This window comes from Homo sapiens, chromosome 19 (assembly GCF_000001405.40).
Source record: "Homo sapiens chromosome 19, GRCh38.p14 Primary Assembly".
Lineage (NCBI taxonomy): Eukaryota > Metazoa > Chordata > Mammalia > Primates > Hominidae > Homo > Homo sapiens.
Genome location: NC_000019.10, coordinates 18,528,028 through 18,550,524, shown reverse-complemented (window position 1 = coordinate 18,550,524; position 22,497 = coordinate 18,528,028). Strand labels below are relative to the sequence as shown.

The 22,497-nt window shown below is 54.0% G+C and overlaps 1 protein-coding gene across 2 annotated transcripts, besides 4 other annotated features; it reads left to right on the top strand.

The window, feature by feature from the left end:
- Positions 6,707-7,136: a silencer, noted in NCBI's record as "silent region_10407". NCBI's record gives its function as "represses an Ori minimal core promoter by ATAC-STARR-seq in GM12878 lymphoblastoid cells {active_cell/tissue: GM12878}" and the evidence as "EXISTENCE:reporter gene assay evidence [ECO:0000049][PMID:35858748]".
- Positions 6,952-18,762, top strand: FKBP8 (FKBP prolyl isomerase 8). Of its 2 annotated transcripts, none has more exons than NM_001308373.2 (9): positions 6,952-7,039; positions 8,530-8,846; positions 10,805-10,974; positions 11,066-11,154; positions 12,092-12,309; positions 12,752-12,924; positions 17,178-17,255; positions 17,730-17,861; positions 18,270-18,762. In NM_001308373.2, exons 2-9 carry the CDS (start codon positions 8,555-8,557, stop codon positions 18,354-18,356), a joined length of 1,239 nt encoding a protein of 412 aa, NP_001295302.1. In that variant the 5' UTR covers positions 6,952-7,039; positions 8,530-8,554; the 3' UTR covers positions 18,357-18,762. The 2 variants fall into 2 exon arrangements, with proteins under 2 accessions (NP_001295302.1, NP_036313.3); NM_012181.5 differs by having other exon boundaries at positions 12,089-12,309.
- Positions 8,699-9,199: an enhancer, noted in NCBI's record as "H3K4me1 hESC enhancer chr19:18652136-18652636 (GRCh37/hg19 assembly coordinates)". NCBI's record gives its function as "activates a minimal SCP1, AML or CMV promoter by ChIP-STARR-seq in naive H9 embryonic stem cells {active_cell/tissue: H9 hESC(naive)}" and the evidence as "EXISTENCE:reporter gene assay evidence [ECO:0000049][PMID:30033119]".
- Positions 12,092-12,386: an enhancer, noted in NCBI's record as "tiled region #11651; HepG2 Activating DNase matched - State 18:Pol2, and K562 Activating non-DNase unmatched - State 14:Gen5'". NCBI's record gives its function as "activates a minimal TATA promoter and a strong SV40 promoter by Sharpr-MPRA in HepG2 and K562 cells {active_cell/tissue: HepG2 | K562}" and the evidence as "EXISTENCE:reporter gene assay evidence [ECO:0000049][PMID:27701403]".
- Positions 20,132-21,017: an enhancer, noted in NCBI's record as "H3K4me1 hESC enhancer chr19:18640318-18641203 (GRCh37/hg19 assembly coordinates)". NCBI's record gives its function as "activates a minimal SCP1, AML or CMV promoter by ChIP-STARR-seq in naive H9 embryonic stem cells {active_cell/tissue: H9 hESC(naive)}" and the evidence as "EXISTENCE:reporter gene assay evidence [ECO:0000049][PMID:30033119]".

Below are 22,497 nucleotides of genomic sequence, written 5' to 3'. Positions count from 1 at the left end.
GTGCTGGGATTACAGGCGTGAGCCACCGCGCCCGGCCAGGCTGTTGCTTTTTAATTTGAGACAGAGTCTCACTTTGTCACCCAGGCTGGAGTGCAGTGGTGCGATCTCAGCACACTGCAACCTCCACCTTCTGGGTTCAAGTGATTCTCCTGTCTCAGCGTCCCCAGAAGCTGGGATTATAGGCACCCACCACCACACCTGGATAATTTTTGTATTTTTACTAGAAACAGGGTTTTACCATGTTGGCCAGGCTGGTCTCAAACTCCTGACCTCAGGTGATCCGCCCGCTTTGGCCTCCCAAAGTGCTGGGATTACAGGTGTGAGCTACTGTACCTGGCTAGAATTCTTTTTTTTTTTTTTTTTTTTTTGAGATGGAATCTCACTCTGTCGCCCAGGCTGGAGTGCAGTGGTGCGATCTCGGCTCACTGCAACCTCTGCCTCCCGGGTTCAAGCGATTCTCCTGGCTCAGCCTCCCAAGTAGCTGGGATTACAGGTGTGTGCCACCACGCCCATCTAATTTTTGTATTTTTAGTAGAGACCAGGTTTCACCATGTTGGTCAGGCTGGTCTCGAACTCCTGATCTTGTGATTCACCTGCCTCGGCCTCCCAAAGTGCTGGGATTACAGGCGTGAGCCACCGCGCCTGACTAGAATTCTTGTATATTTAGTTCAACAGTTTGTTTGTTTGTTTTTTGAGACAGAGTCTCACTCTGTCATCCAGGCAGGAGTGCAGTGGCACAATCTCAGCTCACTACAACCTCCGTCTCCCAGGTTCAGGTGACTCTCCTGCCTCAGCCTCCTGAGGAGCTGGGATTACAGGCACATGCCACTATACCCGGCTAATTTTTGTATTTTTACTAGAGAGGGGTTTCACCATGTTGGCCAGGATGGTCTCAATCTCCTGACCTTGTGATCCTCCCGCCTCAGCCTCCCAAAGTGCTGGGATTACAGGCATGAGCACTGCGCCCGGGTTTGTTTGTTTTTTTTTGTTTTTTGTTTTTTTTTTTGAGACCAGGTCTTGCTCTGTCACTGAGACTGGAGTGTAGTATTGCAATCTTGGCTCACTGCAACCTCGGCCTCCCAGATTCAGGTGATTTTCCTGCCCTACCCTCTTGAGTAGCTGGGATTACAGGCATGCACCACTATGTCCAGATAATTTTTGTATTGGTAAAGACAGGGTTTCGCCATATTGGCCAGGCTGGTCTCGAACTCCTGACCTCAAGTGATCCACCCGCCTTGGCTTCCCAAATTGCTGGGATTACAGATATGAGCCACAGTGCCAAGCCAAAATCAAACTTTTCAGTGGGTCCTTGGGGCTCTTTTGGAAGCCAAGGAACATTTACGAGGGTCTTAGAAGGGGTGGGGACTATAGATTGAGGCCAAAAGGGACTTGGCTGGCCCCTGATGTTTTGTATACACTGGACTTGAGATAAGAACATGTTTTTTTGTATGATGAAGGGAGAGGATAGAAAGTTATGCGAACATTCAGTCTGCCCAGAGATGGGGACTTTCGGGGGTCGGGTTTGGGGACTGGAAGGCTTTCTCTGCCACTTTTTTCCATTTCATTTCCTTTTTTGTGTGTGTGATAGGGTCTTACTCTGTTGCCTGTACTGAAGTGCAATGGCGTGATCACTGCTCCAGCCTAGCAACAGAGCGACTCCATCTCAAAAAAAAAAAAAAAAGAGGAAAACCACCTAATGAGACAGATTTATGTCTAGATATGTCCATAATTACATTAAATACCAATAGACCAAATTCCCCAGTTAAAAAACAAAGATGGACCCGGGCGCAATGGCTCATGCCTATAATCCCAGCACTTTGCAAGGCCGAGGTGAGAGGATTGCTTGAGCCCAGGAGTTTGAGAACAGCCTGAGCAATGTAGCAAGACTCCATCTCTACAAACAATAAATATAAAAAAAGTAGCTGGGCATGGTGGTGCACACCTGTAGTTGAAGCTACTGGAGAGGCTGAGCTGGGAGGATTGCTTGAGCGTGGGTGATTGAGGCTGCAGTGACTCATGATTGTGCCACTGCACTCCAGCCTGGGCCACACAGTGAGACCTTGTGTCAGAAAGAAAGAAAGAAAACATGAACCAAGGAGAATTGGTGTGTAATTTTTTTTTCTTTTTTGTTTTTGAGATGGAGTCTAGCTCTGTCTCCAGGCTAGAGTGAAGTGGCGCAATCTTGGCTCACTGCAACCTCCGCCTCCCGAGTTCAAGCAATTCTCCTGCCTCAGCCTCCTGAGTAGCTGGGATTACTGGAGTGTGCCACCATGCCCAGCTAATTTTTCTGTTTTTAGTACAGACGGGGTTTCACCATGTTGGCCAGGATGGTCTCGATCTCTTCACCTCGTGATCAGCCCGCCTCGGCCTCCCAAAGTGCTGGGATTACAGGAGTGAGCCACCATGCCCAAGCTTGGTGTGCAATCTTAACAAAGTGCACTCTAAGGGAAAAATGAAAGAAGTAAAGAGGGGCACATCTTAACAATGAAAGGTTCAGATCGGGCCTGGCGCTCTGGCTCATGCCTGCAATCCCAGCACTTTGAGAGGCCGAGGCAGGTGGATCACATGAGATCAGGAGTTTGAGAACACCCTGGCCAACATGGCGAAACCCCGTCTCAACTAAAAATACAAAAATTAGCCAAGCGTGGTGGCGGGTGCCTGTAATCCCAGCTACTCGGGAGGGTGAGGCAGGAGAATCACTTGAACCCAAGGGGCAGAGGCTGCAGTGATCTGAGATCTTGCCACTGCACTCCAGCCTAGGCGACAGATTGAGACTCCATCTCAAAAAAAAAAAGGTTCAGTTCACCAGGAAACACAATTGCAACTCTACATGCAGCCAATGATATGGCCTCCAAGTAGAGCAGTCTTGTTTTTTTGTTTTTGTTTTGTTTTGTTTTGTTTTTGAGATCGAGGTCAAGAGTTTGAGACCAGCCTGACCAATACAGTGAAACCCCGTCTCCACGAGAAATGCAAAAATTAGCCAGGCTTGGTGGCTGGTGCCTGTAGTCCCAGCTACTCCAGAGGCTGAGACAGGAGAATTGCTTGAACTTGGGAGGCAGAGGTGGCAGTGAGCCGAGATCGTGCCACTGCACTCCGGCCTGGGCGACAGAGCGAGATTCTGTCCCAAAAAAAAAAAAAAGGGAAAAGCAAATATAAGTAAAATGTTTGCCTGCAAATATCTGTTCAATGAGTGCCAGCCATTATTATTATTGTTGGTGGTGTTATTTTATAGTTTATTTTAGTAGCTTATTAATTTATAATAATAATTATTACTATTATTTTAGAAACAGCGTCTTGCCTTGTTGCTCAGGCTGCAGTGCAGAACTTTGATCATAACTCACTGTAGCCTCGACCTCCTGGGTTCAAGGGATCCCTCCCACCTCAGCCTCCCATTTAGCTGGGACTACATTTTTAAATTTTCTGTAGAGGCCAGGTGTGACGGCTCATGCCTGTAATCCCAGCACTTTGGGAGGCCAAGGCAGGTGGATCACAAGGTCAGAAGTTCAAGACCAGCCTGGCCAACATAGCGGAACCCCCCCATCTCTACTAAAAATACAAAAAATTAGGCAGGCATGGTGGCAGGCGCCTGTAATCCCAGCTACTAGGAAGGCTGAGGCAGGAGAATTGCTTCAACCTGGGAGGCAGAGGTTGCAGTGAGCCGAGATCACACCATTGCACTCCAGCCTCACTAGACTCTGTCTCAAAAAAAAAATTAGTCATGTGTCATGGCAGGCGCCTGTAATCCCAGCTACTTAGGAGGCTGAGGCAGGAGAATCGCTTGAACCTGGGAGTCAGAGGTTGCAGTGAGCCCAGATCGTTCCACTGCACTCTACGTGGGAGACAGAGGGAGACTGTGTCTCCAAATTAATTAATTAATATTCTGTAGAGGCAGGCTCTCACTACGTTACCCAGGCTTAGGTTGCCCAGGCTGGAGTACGGTGACGTGATCTTGGCTCGCTGCAACATCTGCCTCCCGGGTTCAAGCGATTCTCCTGCCTCAACCTCCCAAGTAGCTGGGATTACAGGCATGTGCCACCGCACCCGGCTAATTTCTGTATTTTTCGCAGAGACAGGTTTCACCATGTTGGCCAGGCTGGTCTCGAACTCTTGACTTCAGGTGAACCATCTGCCTCAGCCTCCCAAAGGCTGTTTTTGAGACTGGGTCTTGCTCACTGCAACTTCCACCCCTGGGGTTCAAGCAGTCCTCATGCCTCAGCCACCCCAGTATCTGAGATTACAGGCATGCACCACCATACCCGGCTAATTTTTGTATTTTTAGTAGAGACGGGGTTTCACCATGTTGGCCAGGCTGGTCTAGATTTCCTGACCTCAGGTGATCCACCCACCTCGGCCTCCCAAAGTGCTGGGATTACTGGCATAAGCCACCGCACCCAGCCCTCCAGGTGATTTCTTACATAGCTCTGCTATGCTACCACCTTTAACCTCCCTTCCTTCCTCAGTGATTTCCGTGAGACCCCACCACTACCTTTTGTGGCAGGCACTGTGCAAGCCTCAGAGCTATAACAATGAGAAAGAACAAAGCCTTCCCAGACTTTGGGGCTCTGCCAGTGTAGAGGGCAAGGCAGAGGTAAATCAAAGCAGTGGCTCACGCCTATAATCCCAACAGTTTGGGAGGCCAAAGTGGGAGGATTGCTTGAGCCCAGGAGTTCGAGACCAGCCTGGGCAACATGGGGAAACCCCATCTCTACAAAAAATATAAACATTGGGCCGGGCGCGATGGCTCACGCCTGTAATTTCAGCACTTTGGGAGGCCGAGGTGGGCAGATCACAAGGTCAGGAGATCGAGACTATCCTGGCTAACACGATGAAACGCTGACTCTACTAAAAATACAAAAAATTAGTCGGGCATGGTGGCAGGCGCCTGTAGTCCCAGCTACTTGGGAGGCTGAGGCAGGAGAATGGTGTGAACCTGGGAGGCGGAGCTTGCAGTGAGCCGAGATTGCGCCACTGCACTCTAGCCTGGGCTACACAGCGAGACTCTGTCTCAAAAAAAAAAAAAAAAATTAGCTGGACATGATGGTGCACCTGTGGGCCCAGCTACTCAGGAGGCTGAGGCAGGAGGATTGCGTGAGCCCAGGAGATAGACATGGTTGCAGTGATCTGAGATCGTGCCACTGCACTCCAGCCTGGGTTTCAAAGTAAGACCCTATCTCAAAAAAAAAAAGGCAGAGATATAAGTAAACTAGTTTGGGAAGCCGAGGCAGGCAGATCATGAGGTCAGGAGTTCCAGACCATCCTGGCCAACATGGTGAAACCCTGTCTCTACTAAAAATATACAAATTAGCTGGGCATGGTGGCGGGTGCCTGTAGTCCCAGCTACTCAGGAGGCTGAAGCAGGAGAATCGTTGGAACTTAGGAGGTGGATGTTGCAGTGAGCCGAGATCGCGCCACTGCACTCCAGCCTGGCGACAGAGAGAGACTCTGTCTCAAAAAAAAAAGAGAAAGAAAAAAAAAAAAAAGGCCAGGCACGATGGCTCATGCCTGTAATCTTTGGTACATCGAGGTGGGCGGATCACGTGAGGTCGGGAGTTTGAGACCAGCCTGACCAACATGAAGAAATCCCGTGTCTACTAAAAATACAAAGTTAGCCAGGCATGGTGGTGCATGCCTCTACTCCCAGCTACTTGGAAGGCTGAGGCAGGAGAATCGCTTGAACCTGGGAGGCAGCGGTTGCGGTGAGCTGAGATTGCGCCATTGCACTCCAGCTTGGGCAACAAGAGTGAAACTTCTTCTCAAAAAACAAAAACAAACAAACAAACAAAAAACCCAAGTAAACTAGTTATGAAGTGGACGTTCATCAACTTCATTGTGCCAAGACAGCTAAAGGGGGCACCTGGTCTTGCCTTGGGGAGGTTGGGAGGGCTTCCTGTAGGAGGTAACCTGGGAACTCCAACCTTAGAAGTGATCTCCAAAAAGCCAGTTACCACCTCCATGATAGCTACCTCCAAAAGCTGGTGTCTGACTCATCCATCCATCCATCCATCCATCCATCCATCCATCCATCCACCTACCCATTTATTGAGCTTCTATAGATGCCAGGCATGGTTCAAGGAGGTGCTGGGTACAAATCAGGTAAAAATCTCTGCCAGGATGAAGCAGAGTGAGGGATGGTCCCTCCAACCACAAGCAAAATAATGACAAGATAATTCTGGAAGGAGTAACTGCTAGGAAGGAAATAAAACTGAGTGAAGGAGGGAGAAGTGTCCCGGTTTCAAAACAAGATCCACAAAAACTTAGCTAATCAAGGATGCCACCTTCTTCCCGAGCCATGGGGACCTTATCACCCTCCAGCAGACAGTGCATAGAGGAGGAACTCCTCCCAGTGGCCCTGCTGGCTCAGTCGCCTGCGCAGCAGTAATCGAGCGCCTCCAGTATGCACCAGGCAACCTTCTAGACATTAAACTGTGTGGGGGATGGGAGGGAGGTTTCTGTATGCCTTTGGGCACGTCACTCCTCCTCAGGCCCTCAGGTTCACTTCTGTAACTAAGGCTTCAGGATGGGTCATTCAGCAACCCCAGAGCTGCCCTGCCCGTCAAGCTTGAACTCTTTAAGGAAATAACATTTAGAGTGGACTGTGCCCCCAGCAGCCCCCAAGGTGAGAGTGCATAGATGGGGGTGTTTATCCCCATTTCGCAGATGGTCAGGATGAAGCTCAGAGGAGAGGCAGGAGTCGCACAGGCTGCGCGATACTGACCCGTGTTGGGGTCCAGCCCAGGGTCCCCCGCCCCCGCCCCAGCCCCCGCCCCAGCCCCCGCCCCAGCCCCCGCCCCAGCCCCAGCAGCCGGGAGGCTTCGGTCCCTTTAAGAACGCCCCGCGGGGCCAAGCAGGAAGGGGGAGGTGCCAACGCCCGGGACGGACGTCTGCATGAGCCAACGGGTGCGGCAGTCGCGGCAGCGGCGGCCAATGGGCACGGCAGGGGCGGGGCCAAGCGGCCGAACCTGGTTCCCGAGGCGCGGCGGCCGCGGCTGGGGGCGGGGAGGGGGGCGCAGGACCCCAAGTGGGGGTCCCGGAGCCAGAGGCAAGTGTCCTGGGGTGCTGGGGGCGCCGTGCCGGCCGGGCCGCTGCCCTGGCCTAGGCTGGTCCGGGGGCTAGCGCGCCGGGGGCTGCGGCCGATGGGCGGGGCGAGGGGCCGCGGGGGTGGCGAGCCGGGGGGGCACGGGGGTCGGGGGTGCCCGAGGGGGCGCGGCCGGGCGGGGGTGGCCAGGGATGGGGGTCACTGGGGGCAAAGGGGATCCAGTGGGGGGGTCCCGATGGAGGCGTGCAGGGCCAGGGGCGCCCGAGGCGTGCGGGGGTCGGGTGCCCCAGACTGGTGGCGTCAGACAGGCGTGGGTCGTTGGGGGCCTGGGTCGCGGCTTGACTGAGGGCCCGGCCGGGGCTGTGGGGCGTCAGGAGAGCGTGGGGTGTTATGGGATCGGAAAGGGGGGGGCGTCTGGGGACACTGGAGTGTTTACGGCGAGACGGAGCGGCTGTGGGGGGAGCTGGCCCGTGCTGGGGGCGGTGGTGGTTGGGGTGGGGGGTGGGAGGGGAGGCCGAATTGTGCGGGCGCGGGGAATTATGGGGGTGGGGGCTGGGAGGGTCTCTCAAAGTGGGGCTCCGAGCCCGGGAGGAGCAGGCAGGTGAGGGTTAGGGAGGGGATGCGGCGGGCTGGTTTGATGGCTGTGCCACACTCTTCTGAGCTTGGGGCCTGGGGGACGGAGGGGTTGGTTATTGGTTCAGGAGGTCTGGGGCAAGGAAGAGGCTGTAGAATGTGGTGGGACCTCGACCACTCCTGGAAAGGAGGCTGCTTTGAGGGGGTGGGACCGAGGCCTGATGAGAGGAGGATGGTCTCCTGGGGAAGGATTTGGGCCAGGGTCCCTGATGTTGGGGTTGTGGGGGATAGTGTTAGATTCAGAGTGTGGAAGGAAAAAACGCTTGGGGTTTCTGGGTGATTACAGTTGGTGCTTTTGGGGAGGGTCTCCCCTTTGGAGAAGAGGCTGGAGGTGGGAGGCCCTGGTAAAAGATTCAATTTCCCCCAGTGGCCTTAGAGGCTCTAAAAATGGCTTCCCTAAGGCCTCGGAGGCTGTCCTCTCCACAAAAATCCCAGCACCCTTCGCTCAGCTTATAATCAGGCAAAGCCACAGGGCCTGAAGCCCCAGGTTCAAATCCTCCTTTGGCCTTTGGCTTTCTCTGTGACCTTGGGCAAATGCCTTTGCCCCTCTGGCCTGTTTCCTGTTCTGCAAAATGTTGAGGGGAATCTTCCCTACTTCCTGGAGTATTTGTAAACATTAAATAATAATTAGCTCTAATAATGGCTAACACTATTTGAGCCTGATGCCAAGGGCTTGATGCATGGGTTAATTTCTCCCAACAAGCTGGGGTTGTTGTTACACCCACTGTATAGATGAGGAAACTGAGGCCTGGAGCCCTTGAGTTACACAGAAAGTGATCGGCAGTGTGGGGAATCAGTACAGTGGAGACTTTGAGGGGCTGTGTAGGATTCTGACCCACATCTCTGCCCCCCACTTCCAGGGCCAATTCCTGTCCCCCCAGCAGCATGGCATCGTGTGCTGAACCCTCTGAGCCCTCTGCCCCACTGCCCGCCGGGGTCCCACCGCTCGAGGACTTCGAGGTACTGGATGGGGTTGAGGATGCAGAGGGTGAGGAGGAAGAGGAGGAGGAAGAGGAGGAAGAGGATGACCTGAGTGAGCTGCCACCGCTGGAGGACATGGGACAACCCCCGGCGGAGGAGGCTGAGCAGCCTGGGGCCCTGGCCCGAGAGTTCCTTGCTGCCATGGAGCCCGAGCCCGCCCCAGCCCCGGCCCCAGAAGAGTGGCTGGACATTCTGGGTAAGGAGCAAAGGTGGATCAGGGTGCCCTTGGCCCTGGCCCTCTCGTCCCCTGAGCCTCATTTCCCCATCTGTGCTGTGAGGGTTGGAAGTCACGTGGTCACCACCGTGATCACCAGCCAGAGGCAACTACTGGAGATGCTTCACATTGATGTACTCTATCCACTGACTCACACACATGCACAATGTGCTGTGTCCCCGTTTCCCAGATCTGCTAACAGTGGCTCAGAGAGGCTGAGTCACCTGCCCAGAGCCACACAGCCAGCACGCCAGGCGCTGGCAGCTCCTAACCCCATCAATGCATCTTTTTTTGGCATTTGTCTGACACATGCTTGGGCTCTGAAAAATGTGTCCTGAGTGCACGCCAGCCTGGGCAACACAGCGAGACCCCAACTTCCAAAACAAAAAATGTGTTCTGGGGTCAAGTGGATCAGAGGAATGTTATTTTGTTCAGCCTTCTGGTTGGTTCACAGTAGTGATAGTATTGTAAATGCTCAGAGCAATCCTACAAGAAGAAAACTACATGAGCCCCCACATGTTCCCCCCAACATACCCCATCACAGCAACTGAAAACAAGAGAAATGTTAGTTTTCTGTGGAAGACGTCTTGCTACTAGTATAGTACTGATATCTAATATACCAAATAATGCTGGTGCCCATGCAAATAATAAGATATCATTACCACTATCAATTGTAATAACAATACTGTAGCAATAGTTTCCAATCATATTGACACTGATGGAACAGAAATATTACTAAATATCACCACCACTACTGATAAAAATCTTACTACTTTTTTTTTTTTTTTTGAGACAGAGTCTGACTCTGTCACCCAGGTTGGAATGCAGTGGTGCGATCTCAGTTCACTGCAACCTCCGCCTCCCAGGTTCAAGCGATTCTTCTGCCTCAGCCTCCTGAGTAGCTGGGACTACAGGTGCCCACCTCTATGCCTGGCTGATTTTTGTATTTTTAGTAGAGACAGGGTTTCACCACATTGGCCAGGCTGGTCTCGAACTCCTGACCTCAGGTGATCCACCTGCCTTGGCCTCCTAAAGTGCTGAGATTACAGGTGTGAGCCAGCACACCTGGCCCCTAATTTTTGTATTTTTAGTGGAGACAGGGTCTCACCATGTTGACCAGGCTGGTCTCAAACTCCTAACCTCAAGTGATCCTCCTGCCTCAGCCTTCCAAAGTGCTGGGGTTACAGGTGTGAGCCACCATGCCTGGTCATTTTTTATTTTTTGTAGAGATGGGGTCTCACTATGTTGCCCAGGCTGGTCTCAAACTCCTGGGTTTAAACAGTCCTCTCATTTCAGCCTCCCAAAGTTCTGGGATTACAGGCATGAGCCACCATGTGTGTCCTTTGCTTAACTTATAAATTCATCCCACTTGGTGCTGTGGTGGGGACACTGTGTCACAGGGGCTCTGCTAACCAAAGGTCCCATGAGCACCTCATTTCATGGCTGGGTAAACCGAGGCCCAAACATCTCAGGGCAAGGATTTCAGCCTGAGGGCTGTTTGTCCTCTCTGAGCTTTGGTTTTCTTTCTTTTTGAGGAGGGTGGGGAGACTGGGTTCTTGCCATTTTGCCCAGACGCTGGGCTGAACTTGTGATTCTCCCACATTGGCCTCTCAAATAGATGGAAACTCGGCAAGTCTCAGTTTTCTTAAAAAAAAAAAACAAAAAAACAAAAAAACCAGACCAACCATTGTTCACTGAGCTGGTCTCTAGCACCAGCACTGTCACCCTGAAGTCTGTCCCATCCTGCCCAGTGTCCTGCACGTGGGGTTCCCCACTCTGGTGGCAGAGTGGCCATTGGAAGTTTGGTTTGTGCCCCAGTGTTGGGCCAGCCCCCTCTGGACAGCTAGTGGGCAGAGCTGAGGGTAGGAGTGGGGGCTCAGGGGAGCGGGTGCCTGTTTGAGCTGCCAGGTGACAGGCTGCATGTCCCTGGACCCTGGCAGGGAACGGGCTGTTGAGGAAGAAGACGCTGGTCCCAGGGCCGCCAGGTTCGAGCCGCCCGGTCAAGGGCCAGGTGGTCACCGTACATCTGCAGACGTCGCTGGAGAATGGCACACGGGTGCAGGAGGAGCCGGAGCTGGTGTTCACTCTGGGTGACTGTGACGTCATCCAGGTGCGGGCTGGGGCGGGACAGGGCAGGGGCGAGGGGCGTGCCTTGCTGGGTCTGAGTCTGCCTGACAGCTGGCTATCCCCACACACCCCAGGCCCTGGATCTCAGTGTCCCACTCATGGACGTGGGGGAGACGGCCATGGTCACTGCTGACTCCAAGTACTGCTACGGCCCCCAAGGCAGGTGAGAGTCAGCCACCCTTAGGTCTCTGCAGGTCTCAGGAGGGGGATGGGTGGAGTGGGTGTACCCCTCGGCTCACCCCATCTACTTGCCCATTTTATAGACAAGAAACTGAGGCTGGGTGAGGTGGCTCACACCTGAAATCCCAGCACTTTGGGAGGTTGAGGTAGGAGGATTGCTTGAGACCTGGAGTTCCAGACCAGCCTAAGCAATATAGACCGCATCTCTATACAAAAAAATTTAAAAATTAGCTGGGTGTGGGCCGGGCGTGGTGGCTTACGCCTGTAATCCCAGCACTTTGGGAGGCCAAGGCGGGTGGATCATGAGGTCAGGAGATCAAGGCCATCCTGGCTAGCACGGTGAAACCCCGTCTCTACTAAAAATACAAAAAATTAGCCAGGCGTGGTGGTGGGTGCCTGTAGTCCCAGCTACTCTGGAGGTTGAGGCAGGAAAATGGCGTGAACCCGGGAGGCGGAGCTTGCAGTGAACCGAGATTGCACCACTGCACTCCAGCCTGGGCAAGAGAGCAAGACTGTCTCAAAAAAAAAAAAAAAAAAAAAAAAAAGCTGGGTGTGGTGCACACCTGTAGTCCCAGCTACTGAGGAGGCTCAGGCAGGAGGATCACTTGAGCCCACGTTTTTGAGGCTGCAGTGAGCCAAGATTGCACCACTGCACTCCAGCCCGGGCAACAGAGTGAGAACCTGTCTCTTAATAAAAAGGAGGAAAACCGAGGCTTAGGGAGGGGAACTCGTTCGTCAAGTCCCGCAGCTCCAAGGCGGCAAGTCACTTCCCCTGCACTTTACTGAGGAGGGAATGATGGAGGGCAGAGGGGAGACAGATCGGGGGCTTGAGCCAAGCTCACTCCTTCCTAGCCAGCCCAGCGGGTTTAGGGGTCACCAGGTCTGAGTGCTGCCCCTGCCTGCTCCCACCCAACTAGCAGGAGCCCATACATCCCCCCGCACGCGGCCCTGTGCCTGGAGGTGACCCTGAAGACGGCTGTGGACGGGCCTGACCTGGAGATGCTCACGGGGCAGGAGCGCGTGGCCCTGGCCAACCGGAAGCGGGAGTGCGGCAACGCCCACTACCAGCGGGCGGACTTCGTCCTGGCCGCCAACTCCTACGACCTCGCCATCAAGGCTATCACCTCCAGCGCCAAAGGTGACCGCCTGGGTCAGATCTCCACCATCTCCCCTGCAAAGGTGTCCACTCCGTGCCAGAAACTTCCAGCCCCAGAGAGCCTCAGACTCAGAATATTCTAGAATAGCCCAGAATATGGGTAGATCCCCAACTGCCCCTAAGCTAGGGCCTGTTACAGACTCGTGGTATATCCCAGACCAGTGGAGTGTTGTAGAATGCAAGTGGATATGGGGATGGGGTGACCATAGACAGGGCCAGTTCACATGTACCACAGGCTAGGCCCTCGCTTGCTTAAGTCTCCATCTTGTAGCTTCCTCAGGAGAGCCCCAGGAAAGCGTGGCCCTTGGTCCGGGGTTAAAATTGGGGAAACTGAGGCCAGAGAGGCAGCCTCCGCAGAGGGGTGGGTGCCGGGGTGTCTGGTGGCATGGTGACGGCTGCCGTGGCGGGCACTGTCTCCCAATAGTGGACATGACGTTCGAGGAGGAGGCACAGCTCCTGCAGTTGAAGGTGAAGTGTCTGAACAACCTGGCGGCCTCGCAGCTGAAGCTCGACCACTACCGCGCAGCCCTGCGCTCCTGCAGCCTTGTGCTGGAGCACCAGCCAGACAACATCAAGGCTCTCTTCCGCAAGGGCAAGGTAGGCCACACCGGGGTGCCAGGCCGGGTCACTCAGCCTGGGGTATACGGGGTGGTCCCCAACCCTGCATTTGAGAAAGGCATAGGTATATAAGCCAGCTGAGCTCTGTGGGGTGCAGGTGGAGAAACTGAGGCCCAGACGGGTGCAGGAGTGTGGCCTGGTCACAACAATTCATTGGCTGAGGCCAGAATTTGATCCTCGAGTCTTGGGTCCCCAACCTTTGGCCCAGTGTTTTTTGTTTGTTTGTTTGTTTGTTTCTTGAGACAGAGTCTCACTCTGTCACCCAGGCTGGAGTGCAGTGGTGTGATCTCAGCTCACCACCGCAACCTCCTCCTCCTGGGTTCAAGCGATTGTCCTGCCTCAACCTCCCAAGTAGCTGGGACTACAGGTGCGAGCCACCACACCCAGTTAATTTTTGTATTTTTAGTAGAGATGTGGTTAGCCATATTGGCCAGGCTGGTCTCGAACTCCTGACCTCAAGTGATCTGCCCGCCTCAGTCTCCCCATGTGCTGAGATTACAGGCCTGAGCCACCGTGCCCGGCTTGGCCCAGTGTTGAAACCTCCTCCCATAGAACCTCCATGGGTCCCAGTTTTCCTCAGAGTAAAGTGGAATCCTAGTCACAGCCCTTGGGGCCTTGAGTTGTCTGGTCTTCCCCCTCCTGCTATCACTTCTCCCACCTCACTTTCTGCTTCTCTCCATCCCACGTGGCATTCTCCCTTTCTGCTGTCTAGCCAGGCTCTCTCCACCTCAGGGCCTTTGCGTAGGCATTGCCGACTGTCTGAGATGTTCCTGACAGGCAGCACGTGGAGGTGACATGCCTCTTGTCCATCTACCTTACTCAAAGGTGGAGATTTGGTCTGTCTTGCTCACTGCCGGATCTCCAGCCTTGCAAACAGGGCCAGGTACATAGTAGGTGCTCAGTAAAAGTCCTGGCAGAGGCCAGGCACAATGGCTCATTCCTGTAATCCCAGCACTTGGGATTACAGGAGGCCAAGGCAGGAGGATCGCATGAGCCCAGACATTTGCGACGAGCCCAGGCAACATAGGGAGACCCCCTTCTCTACCCAAAATATACAAAAATTAGCTGGGTGTGGGGGCGCGGGCCTGTCGTCCCAGTTGCTCAGGAGGCTGAGGATGGCTTGAGCCCCGAAGGTCAAGGCTGCAGTGAGCCTTGATCACACCACTGCACTCCAGCCTTGGCAGCAGAGCAAGACCCTGTGTCAAAAACAAAACACGAGAACAGAAAAAAAAGTTCTGGCAGAACATAGGGGTGAATCTGGCTTGCACAGACTTGACCTTCATTCTCACCCCCTTTTCTGTTCATCCTCACAGCCTCACCCCTAGGTGGGGCTTTCAGGACCTTTTAGCAGTTAACGAAGGAAACTGAGGCACAGATACTGGCTCACCTGCTGTGTTTCTGAAAAGCCTGAGGTGGGGCTCCCTCCAGCTGGGATTTATTAAGGACATACTGTGTGCGGAGTTCTGCAGAGAAATATGAAGAGGGAGAAGATGCAGTTCCTGTTTTTGAAGGCTTTGTTCTCAACCTGGGGGTAGTATCCTCCTGGGGGCAGCAGGAGTGGCTGCTTGTGTAGCTTCATACAAGTTTGGACCTGCTGGTTGAAGGTGATAGAAACCCACTCAAACAGGTTCAAGCAGAAAGGAGGGATCGATAGCTCATGGAACTGCCAAGTTTGGATTAGCTGGCTTCAGGCATAGCTGGATCCAGGCACTCACAATATTGTGGGGATGCTGTTTCTCTGCTCTGACCTTCCCTCCTGGGCCGGCTCCTCTCTCAGGGTGACCATGATGCTCCCCCCTCCCCCCTGGAAAGTTACAGATTTCCATCTTCTACCCCCTCCTTTTTTTTTTTTTTTTGAGACAGAGTCTTGCTCTGTCACCCAGGCTGGAGTGCAGTGGCACGATCTTGGCTCACTGCAACCTCTGCCTCCTGGGTTCAAGCGAGCACATCCAGCCTTTTTTTGTATTTTTAGTATAGACGGGGTTTCACCATGTTGGCCAGGCTGGTCTTGAACTCCTGACCTCAAGTGATCCACCTGCCTTGACCTCCCAAAGTGCTGGGATTATAGGCGTGAGCCACTTCGCCCAGCTCCATCTTCTCCCCTTAGCAACCCATCTCCCATCAGCACCAGCATAGTGCAGGCTGGATCTCATTGACTCATTTGGGTCATGTGCCTGGTCCTGAATCATTCACTATGGCCAAAGCTTTGGAAACATCAGGGCCAGGTGTGGTGCCTCACGCCTGTAATCTCAGCACTTCAGGAGGCCAAGGTAGGAGGATCATTTGAGCCCAGGAATTCAAGACCAGTCTTGGCAGCATAGTGAGACCCCATTGCTACAAAAATTTAAAAAATAATTAAGGGCTGGGCGTGGTGGCTCACGCCTATAATCCCAGCACTTTGGGAGACCGAGGCAGGTGGATTGGTTGAGCCCAGGAGTTCGAAACCATCCTGGGGAACATGGCCCTGTCTCTAAAATAAAATAAATAAATAAGTAGGCCTGGAGCGGTGGCTCATGCCTGTAATACCAGCACTTTGGGAGGCTGAGGCAGGTGGATCACTTGAGGTCAGGAGTTTGAGACCAGCCTGGCCAACATGGTAAAACCCTGTCTCTACTAAAAATACAAAAATTAGCCGGTGGTGGTAGGTGCCTGTAATCCCAGTTACTCGGGAGGCTGAGGCAGGAGAATGGCGTGAACCCGGGAGGCAGAGCTTGCATTGAGCCAAGATCGTGCCACTGCACTCCAGCCTGGGCGAGAGTGAGACTCCATCTCAAAATAATAATAATAACAATAGTAATAATAATTTTATAAATAAATACATAAATAAATAATTCGTTGGACATGGTAGTACACGCCTGTAGTCCCAGCTCCTCGGGAGGCTGAGGCTGGAGGATTGTGTGAGCCTAGGAGTTTGAGGCTGCAGTGAGCTATGATCATGCCATTGCACTCCAGCCTGGGTGACCGATCAAGACCCTGTCTCTAAAGGAAAGAGAAAAAAAAAACAACAACCTCTGGAAGCATCCATTCGGCCTCTCGCCAGTGGAGGTGGTGAGGGAGGAGGCAGCGAGGTGGGTGCCTAGATCTGCAGCTGAGACAGGAAGGAGGAGCATGTTGCGGGGACCAATGCCAAGCTAAGTGTGCACTGATGGAGTTTGAGGGCTAGGAGAGCAGTTTGGGAGTGGCTGGAACCCAGGGATGTTGCCAGAGCTCCATTTGGCACTTGTATGAGTAGCCAGGAGCCTGGCTGTTTTTTTTGTTTGTTTGTTTGTTTTTGAGACGGAGTCTCGCTCTGTCGCCCAGGCTGGACTGCAGTGGCGTGATCTCGGCTCACTGCAAGTGCTGCCTCCTGGGTTCACGCCATTCTCCTGCCTCAGCCTCCCGAGTAGCTGGGACTACAGGCGCCCGCCACCATGCCCGGCTAATTTTTTTGTATTTTTTAGTAGAGACGGAGTTTCACCATGTTAGCCAGGATGGTCTTGACGTCCTGACCTCTTGATCCGCCTGCCTTGACCTCCCAAAGTGCTGGGATTACAGGTGTGAGCCACCGCGCCCAGCCTTTTTTTTTTTTTTTGAGATGGAGTCTCACTCTGTCGCCCAGGCTGGAGTGCAGTGGCACGATCTCGGCTCACTGCAAGCTCCGCCTCCCGGGTTCACGCCATTCTCCTGCCTCAGCCTCCCGAGTAGCTGGGACTATCAGGCGCCCGCCACCTCGCCCAGCTAATTTTTTTTGTATTTTTAGTAGATACAGGGTTTCACCGTCTTAGCCAGGATGGTCTTGATCTCCTGACCTTGTGATCCGCCCGCCTCGGCCTCCCAAAGTGCTGGGATTACAGGCATGAGCCACTGCGCCCGACCCTTTTTTTTTTTTCTTTTTTTAAGACAGGGTTGCACTCTGTCACCCAGACTGGGGTGCAGTGGTGTGATCTCGGCTCACTGCAACTTCTGCCCCCTGGTTCAAGCAATCCTCCCACCTCAGCCTCCTGAGTAGCTAGGACTACAGGTGCATGCCACCACGCCTGGCTAATTTTTGTATTTTTTGGTAGAGACGGGGTTTCTCCATGTTGGCCAGGCTGTTTTTATTTTATTTTATTTTTTGAGATGGAGTCTTGCTCTGTTGCTCAAGCTGGAGTGCAGTGACACCATCTTGGCTCACTGCAACCTCCTGGGCTGGATTTCTTGAAGGACAGGCCCAGGTATGGGTCCAGAGTGATGCCACCCCCTTCCCCTTACAGGTGCTGGCCCAGCAGGGGGAGTACAGTGAGGCCATCCCCATCCTGAGGGCAGCCCTGAAGCTGGAACCTTCCAACAAGGTGAGCAGGACAGGGGTGCCCTGGGACTTGCTCGGCTGGGAAGTCCCTCCTGCGGTCTGCCCCAGGTCTTTCTTGCTGTGGCTCTCTGTTGTGTTCCCACCTGGGCAGTGGCACGGAGTAGGTACCTGAAGGGTCCTGGTCAGCTTGTGAAGACCCTCATGACGGCCACACAGGCAGTCTGGGCTCTCACTCCTCCAGCAGCTGAGGGCACTGCCAGCCTGCTCCATGCCAGTGTCCTTGGCCTTCCTTCCAGAACCTTTTGTCTCCTGGCTACCTTGTGCTCTGCGCCATCAATTGGCTCCCTAGGAGGGATGGGGTCAGCAGCCCTGACTTTGCTAAGCCCAGAAAGGGGCAGATGGGACCCCTGTGTCCCAACAGTCCCACCACCCAAACAGCCTAGGGTCCCAGTAAGGCAGAGCGCCAGTGATGACAGGTTGGCCGCTGCGTGTTCTCAGCTTCCCCTGCCTTCTGCAGACGATCCACGCAGAGCTCTCAAAGCTGGTGAAGAAGCATGCGGCGCAGCGGAGCACGGAGACCGCCTTGTACCGGAAAATGCTGGGCAACCCCAGCCGGCTGCCTGCTAAGTGCCCTGGCAAGGGTGCCTGGGTGAGCTGGGGCACAGAATGGGCAGGGGCTGTGTGCAGGGCACGCCTAGCAGAGGGATTTTATTTTGCATACATGGATGTCCTCGGAGACTGGGCCGTCCTGGGCGATGCAGGGGACGTGGAGAGAGCCCAGCCCTGTGTGATCATGAGTGGAGTCGAAGGTGGAACTCAAGCTGGAGGGCTGGGGGTGGACTGTGGAGCCTCTTCCAGGGCACGAGGGGCGGTGTCCTGGAGGAGGGGCCATTTGATTTGGGTTTTGCTGCATGAGTAGGAGTTTGCCAGGAAGTGGGAAATACATAGTCAGGCAATGATTTGTTGGGAGGTCTGTTTGGGCTGTGCTGGCAGCTGAGGCCCCAGAGGCCAGTCTTGACCTCCCTCCACCCTTCTCTCCCCTCCTTTTTATCCACAGTCCATCCCATGGAAGTGGCTGTTTGGGGCGACTGCTGTTGCCTTGGGGGGTGTGGCACTCTCTGTGGTCATCGCTGCCAGGAACTGACCACCTAGGTGGCTGCCACCCCCTCTGCACACCATGGACCCTGCCCTGCGCTCCCCAACTCCCCCAGGCTCCCTGTCCACTGCCCTCCCTGGTCTGGCCCCCTCCTCCGGGTTAGGGGAGCAAGGATTGGGGGTCGTGCAGCCCAGCCAGCAGGAGGGACTGAGGCCCTCTAGGAGGAAAGCCCAGAGGGAGGGGGCCCTCATTCCTTCAGACCCAGTTTTCCCCCACCCTCCTTACCCCGCTGGGCTAGGTCTCCGCCAGGGCTGGCCTCAGTTTCTCCTCAACAGGCCTGGGGGCAGCCCTTCCCCTGCCTAGTCCCCGCCTGAGTGCCAGCCCCCCACCCCGCCTGCCGCCCCCTGTCCAGGTTCCCTCCCCGCCACAGTGAAATAAAGCATCCCACCCTGCAGTTTCCACGGACTCCTGAGCTTTCTTCTCCCGCTGTCTGGGGCTGGGCCAGAGACAGCCTGTGATGCATCTGGAGTCACACAGCATGGTGGATGTGGTTGAGCCAGCTGGAGCTGGGGGTCTCCTCTCCGGGCACAACATACTCACTTTACAGAGGAGAAACTGAGGCATAGAGAAGTGGGGTGATGTAGCAGGGGCAAGTGGGTTGAGAGGTCTGACTCAGCTGGACTCTGGGGGTGTTACTGCCCAGCTCCACTCGTTACCCCAGCGTTCACTGTTTACTCACCTGAAATCCAGGACCCCAGTGGGCCCTACCTTGAGGCTGCTGCATGGGTTCTGTGGCATCATTGCTTTACCTAGTGGATGTACTGAATTCAAAAGAGACAGATGGTAGGAGGATGACTTGAGCACAGGAATTTGAGGCTTTAGTGAGCTATGATTGCACCACTGCACTCCAGCCTAGGCTGGAAGACCTCACCAGAGTGAGGTCTCTCTTTTTATTATTTATTTATTTATTTATTTATTTTTGAGACGGAGTCTCACTCTGTCACCAGGCTGAAGTACAGTGGCACGATCTCTGCTCACTGCAACCTCCACTTCCCGGGTTCAAGCAATTCTTCTGTCTCAGCCTCCCGAGTAGCTGGGACTACAGGCGCACGCCACCATGCGCAGCTAATTTTTGTATTTTTAGTAGAGACAGGGTTTCACCATGTTGGTCAGGATGGTCTTGATCTCTTGACCTTGTGATCTGCCTGCCTAGGCCTCCCAAAGTGCTGGGATTACAGGTGTGAGTCACCGTGCCCGGCTCTTTTTTTTTTTTTTTTTTTTGAGACAGAGTCTTGCTCTGTGGCCCCGGCTGGAGTGCAGTGGCGTGATCTTGGCTCACTGCAAGCTCCGCCTCCCGGGTTCATGCCATTCTCCTGCCTCAGCCTCCCGAGTAGCTGAGACTACAGGCGCCTGCCACCACGCCTGGCTAATTTTTTGTATTTTTGGTAGAGACGGGGTTTCACCGTGTTAGCCAGGATGGTCTGGATCTCCTGACCTCGTGATCCACCTGCCTTGGCCTCCCAAAGTGCTGGGATTACAGGCGTGAGCCACCGCGCCCGGCCTTTTTTTTTTTTTAATAAAGAGGTGGGGTGTAGTGTCATGGCCTGTAATTTCAGCTCTTTGGAAGCCAGGGTGGGAGGGTCGCTTGAGCCCAGCCTGGTCAACACAGTGAGATTCCATCTATGTTTAAAAAAAAAGTGCACCAGGCACAGTGGTTCCCACCTGTAATCCCAGCACTTTGGGAGGCCGAGGTGGGTGGATCACTTGAGCTCAGGAGTTCCAGACCAGCCTGCCCAACATAGTGAAACCCCAGCTCTACTTAAAATACAAAAATTAGCTGGGTGTAGTGGCACATGCCTGTAATCCCAGCTACTCGGGAGGCAGAGGTTGCAGTGAACCGAGATCATGGGACTACACTGCAGCCTGGGCAACACAGGGAGACTTCATCTCAAAACAAGAGACAGATGGGGTCCAGGGGAGAGGATGTGAATGTCTGGATGCAGCCTGTGAGAAGGCACAGCTGGAGGCCCAGGAAGACCTCTCCCAGGGGATGTGTGCGCTGATATTTCAGCGATGGCAAGGGTCTGCCCATGCAGGAAGCCGACAGCCCCAGGTCTGGGCAACAGCACGCCCAGTACAAAGACCCTGGGGCCAGGTCTAGCCTGGTGCATTCCAGATGGATGAGGCTGGGTAGCCTGCAGAGCCATACCCTGCAGGGCTTTAGGGGCCATGAGGAAGGGCCAGGGTTGATGCTGGGAGGTTCCCTGATCCCATCTGGCTCTCCCAACTCTGGACTCTGGGAGCTTCTCCTATGATGCCGCTCACCAGTGCAGCCAGGATGGGCGGAGCCAGCATCGGGGCCTCTGTCAGCCCAGCACCCACACCCTTTCTTCCTGCTGTTCCATCTTGCCCCCAAGAATAAGGGCATCCTTGAAAATAGACCACTACAGTCACCTCACCTGCATCTATCCCCTTACAGCCCAGGAGGGAAAGCTGCCTGCCACAGCCACCCAGGAGAAGTTGGTGCAGAAGGGAGGTTGGAGGGCCTCCCAAAGGCCTAGGACTCCAATCTACACCTCCACCTCACCCACTCACCCGCTTCTTCCAGGCCCTTGTTCTCTGGGTCACCTGGATGACTTGAGGCTGAGTGTGGCTTGAGGCTGTGCTCTCTTTCCAGTGGTTAGCCCCAGGTTCAGGCAATTCTCCTGCCTCAACCTCCCAAGTAGCTGGGATTACAGGCATGTGCCACCACACCCAGCTAATTTTTTTTTTTTTTTTTTGCATGCCAGCTCTGTCACCCAGGCTGGAGTGCAGTGGCATGATCTCAGCTCACTGCAACCTCTGACCTCTGCCTCCCGGGTTCAAGCGATTCTCCTGCCTCAGCTTCCCAAGTAGCTGGGATTACAGGTGCACGCCACCACACCTGGCCAATTTTTTTTATTATTTATTTATTTTCGAGATGGGGTCTTGCTCTGTCACCCAGGCTGGAGTGCAGTGGCCCAATCTTAGCTTACTGCAGCCTCCGCCTCCAGGGTTCAAGCAGTTCTCCCACCTCAGCCTCTCAAGTAGCTTGGGATTACAGGGGCACGCAACCAAGCTTGACTAATTTTTTTTTTTTTTTTTTTGAGACAGTCTCGCTCTGTAACCCAGGTTGGAGTGCAGTGGCATGATCTTGTTCACTGCTACCTCTGCCTCCCAGATCACGGTTCAAGCGATTCTCCTGCCTCGTCTCCCGAGTAGCTGAGATTACAGGCACACGCCACCATGCCCAGATAATTTTTGTATTTTTAGTAGAGACGGGGTTTCACCATGTTGGCCACGCTGATCTTGAACTCCTGACCTCATGATCCACCCGCCTCGGCCTCCCAAAGTGCTGGGATTACAGACATGAGCCACCTCGCCTGGCCTTTTTTTTTTTGAGATGGAGTCTTGCTCTGTCATCCAGGCAGGAGTGCAGTGGTGCATCTTGGCTCACTGCAACCTCCGCCTCCAGAATTTAAGGGATTCACCTGCCTCATCCTCCTGAGTAGCTGGGATTACAGGTGCGTGCCACCACGCCCAGCTAATTTTGTATTTTTAGTAGAGACGGAGTTTCACCACATTGGTGATTAACTTTCTTTTTCTCTCTCTCTGCTACCCAGGTCGGAGTGCAGTGTCACCATCTCAGCTCACTGCAAACTCCACCTCCCGGGTGCAAGGGATTCTTGTGCCTCAGAATCCCTATAGCAAGCCTGTAATCCCGGCACTTTGGGAGGCCAAGGTGGGTGGATCACCTGAGGTCAGGAGTTCGAGAACAGTCTGGCCAACATGGTGAAACCCCATCTCTACTAAAAATGCAAAAATCAGCCGGGTATGGTGGCATAAGCCTGTAATCCCAGCTGCTCAGGAGGCTGAAGCAGAAGAATAGGCTTGAACCCAGGAGGCGGAGGTTGCAGTGACCTAAAATCGCGCCATCGCAGTCCAGCCTGGGCAACAAGAGTGAAACTCATCGCCAAAAAATATATATATAGAACCTCTTGACTTTTCGTAATGCAAAGTCAACTTGTTTCCTGTTCATGTAGCACACAAATCCTTTTTTTTCCCCCCGAGACGGAGTATTGCTCTGTTGCCCAGGCTGGAATGCAGTGGCCTGATCTCGGCTCACTGCAACCTCTGCCTCCTGGGTTCAGCAATTCTCCTGCCTCAGCCT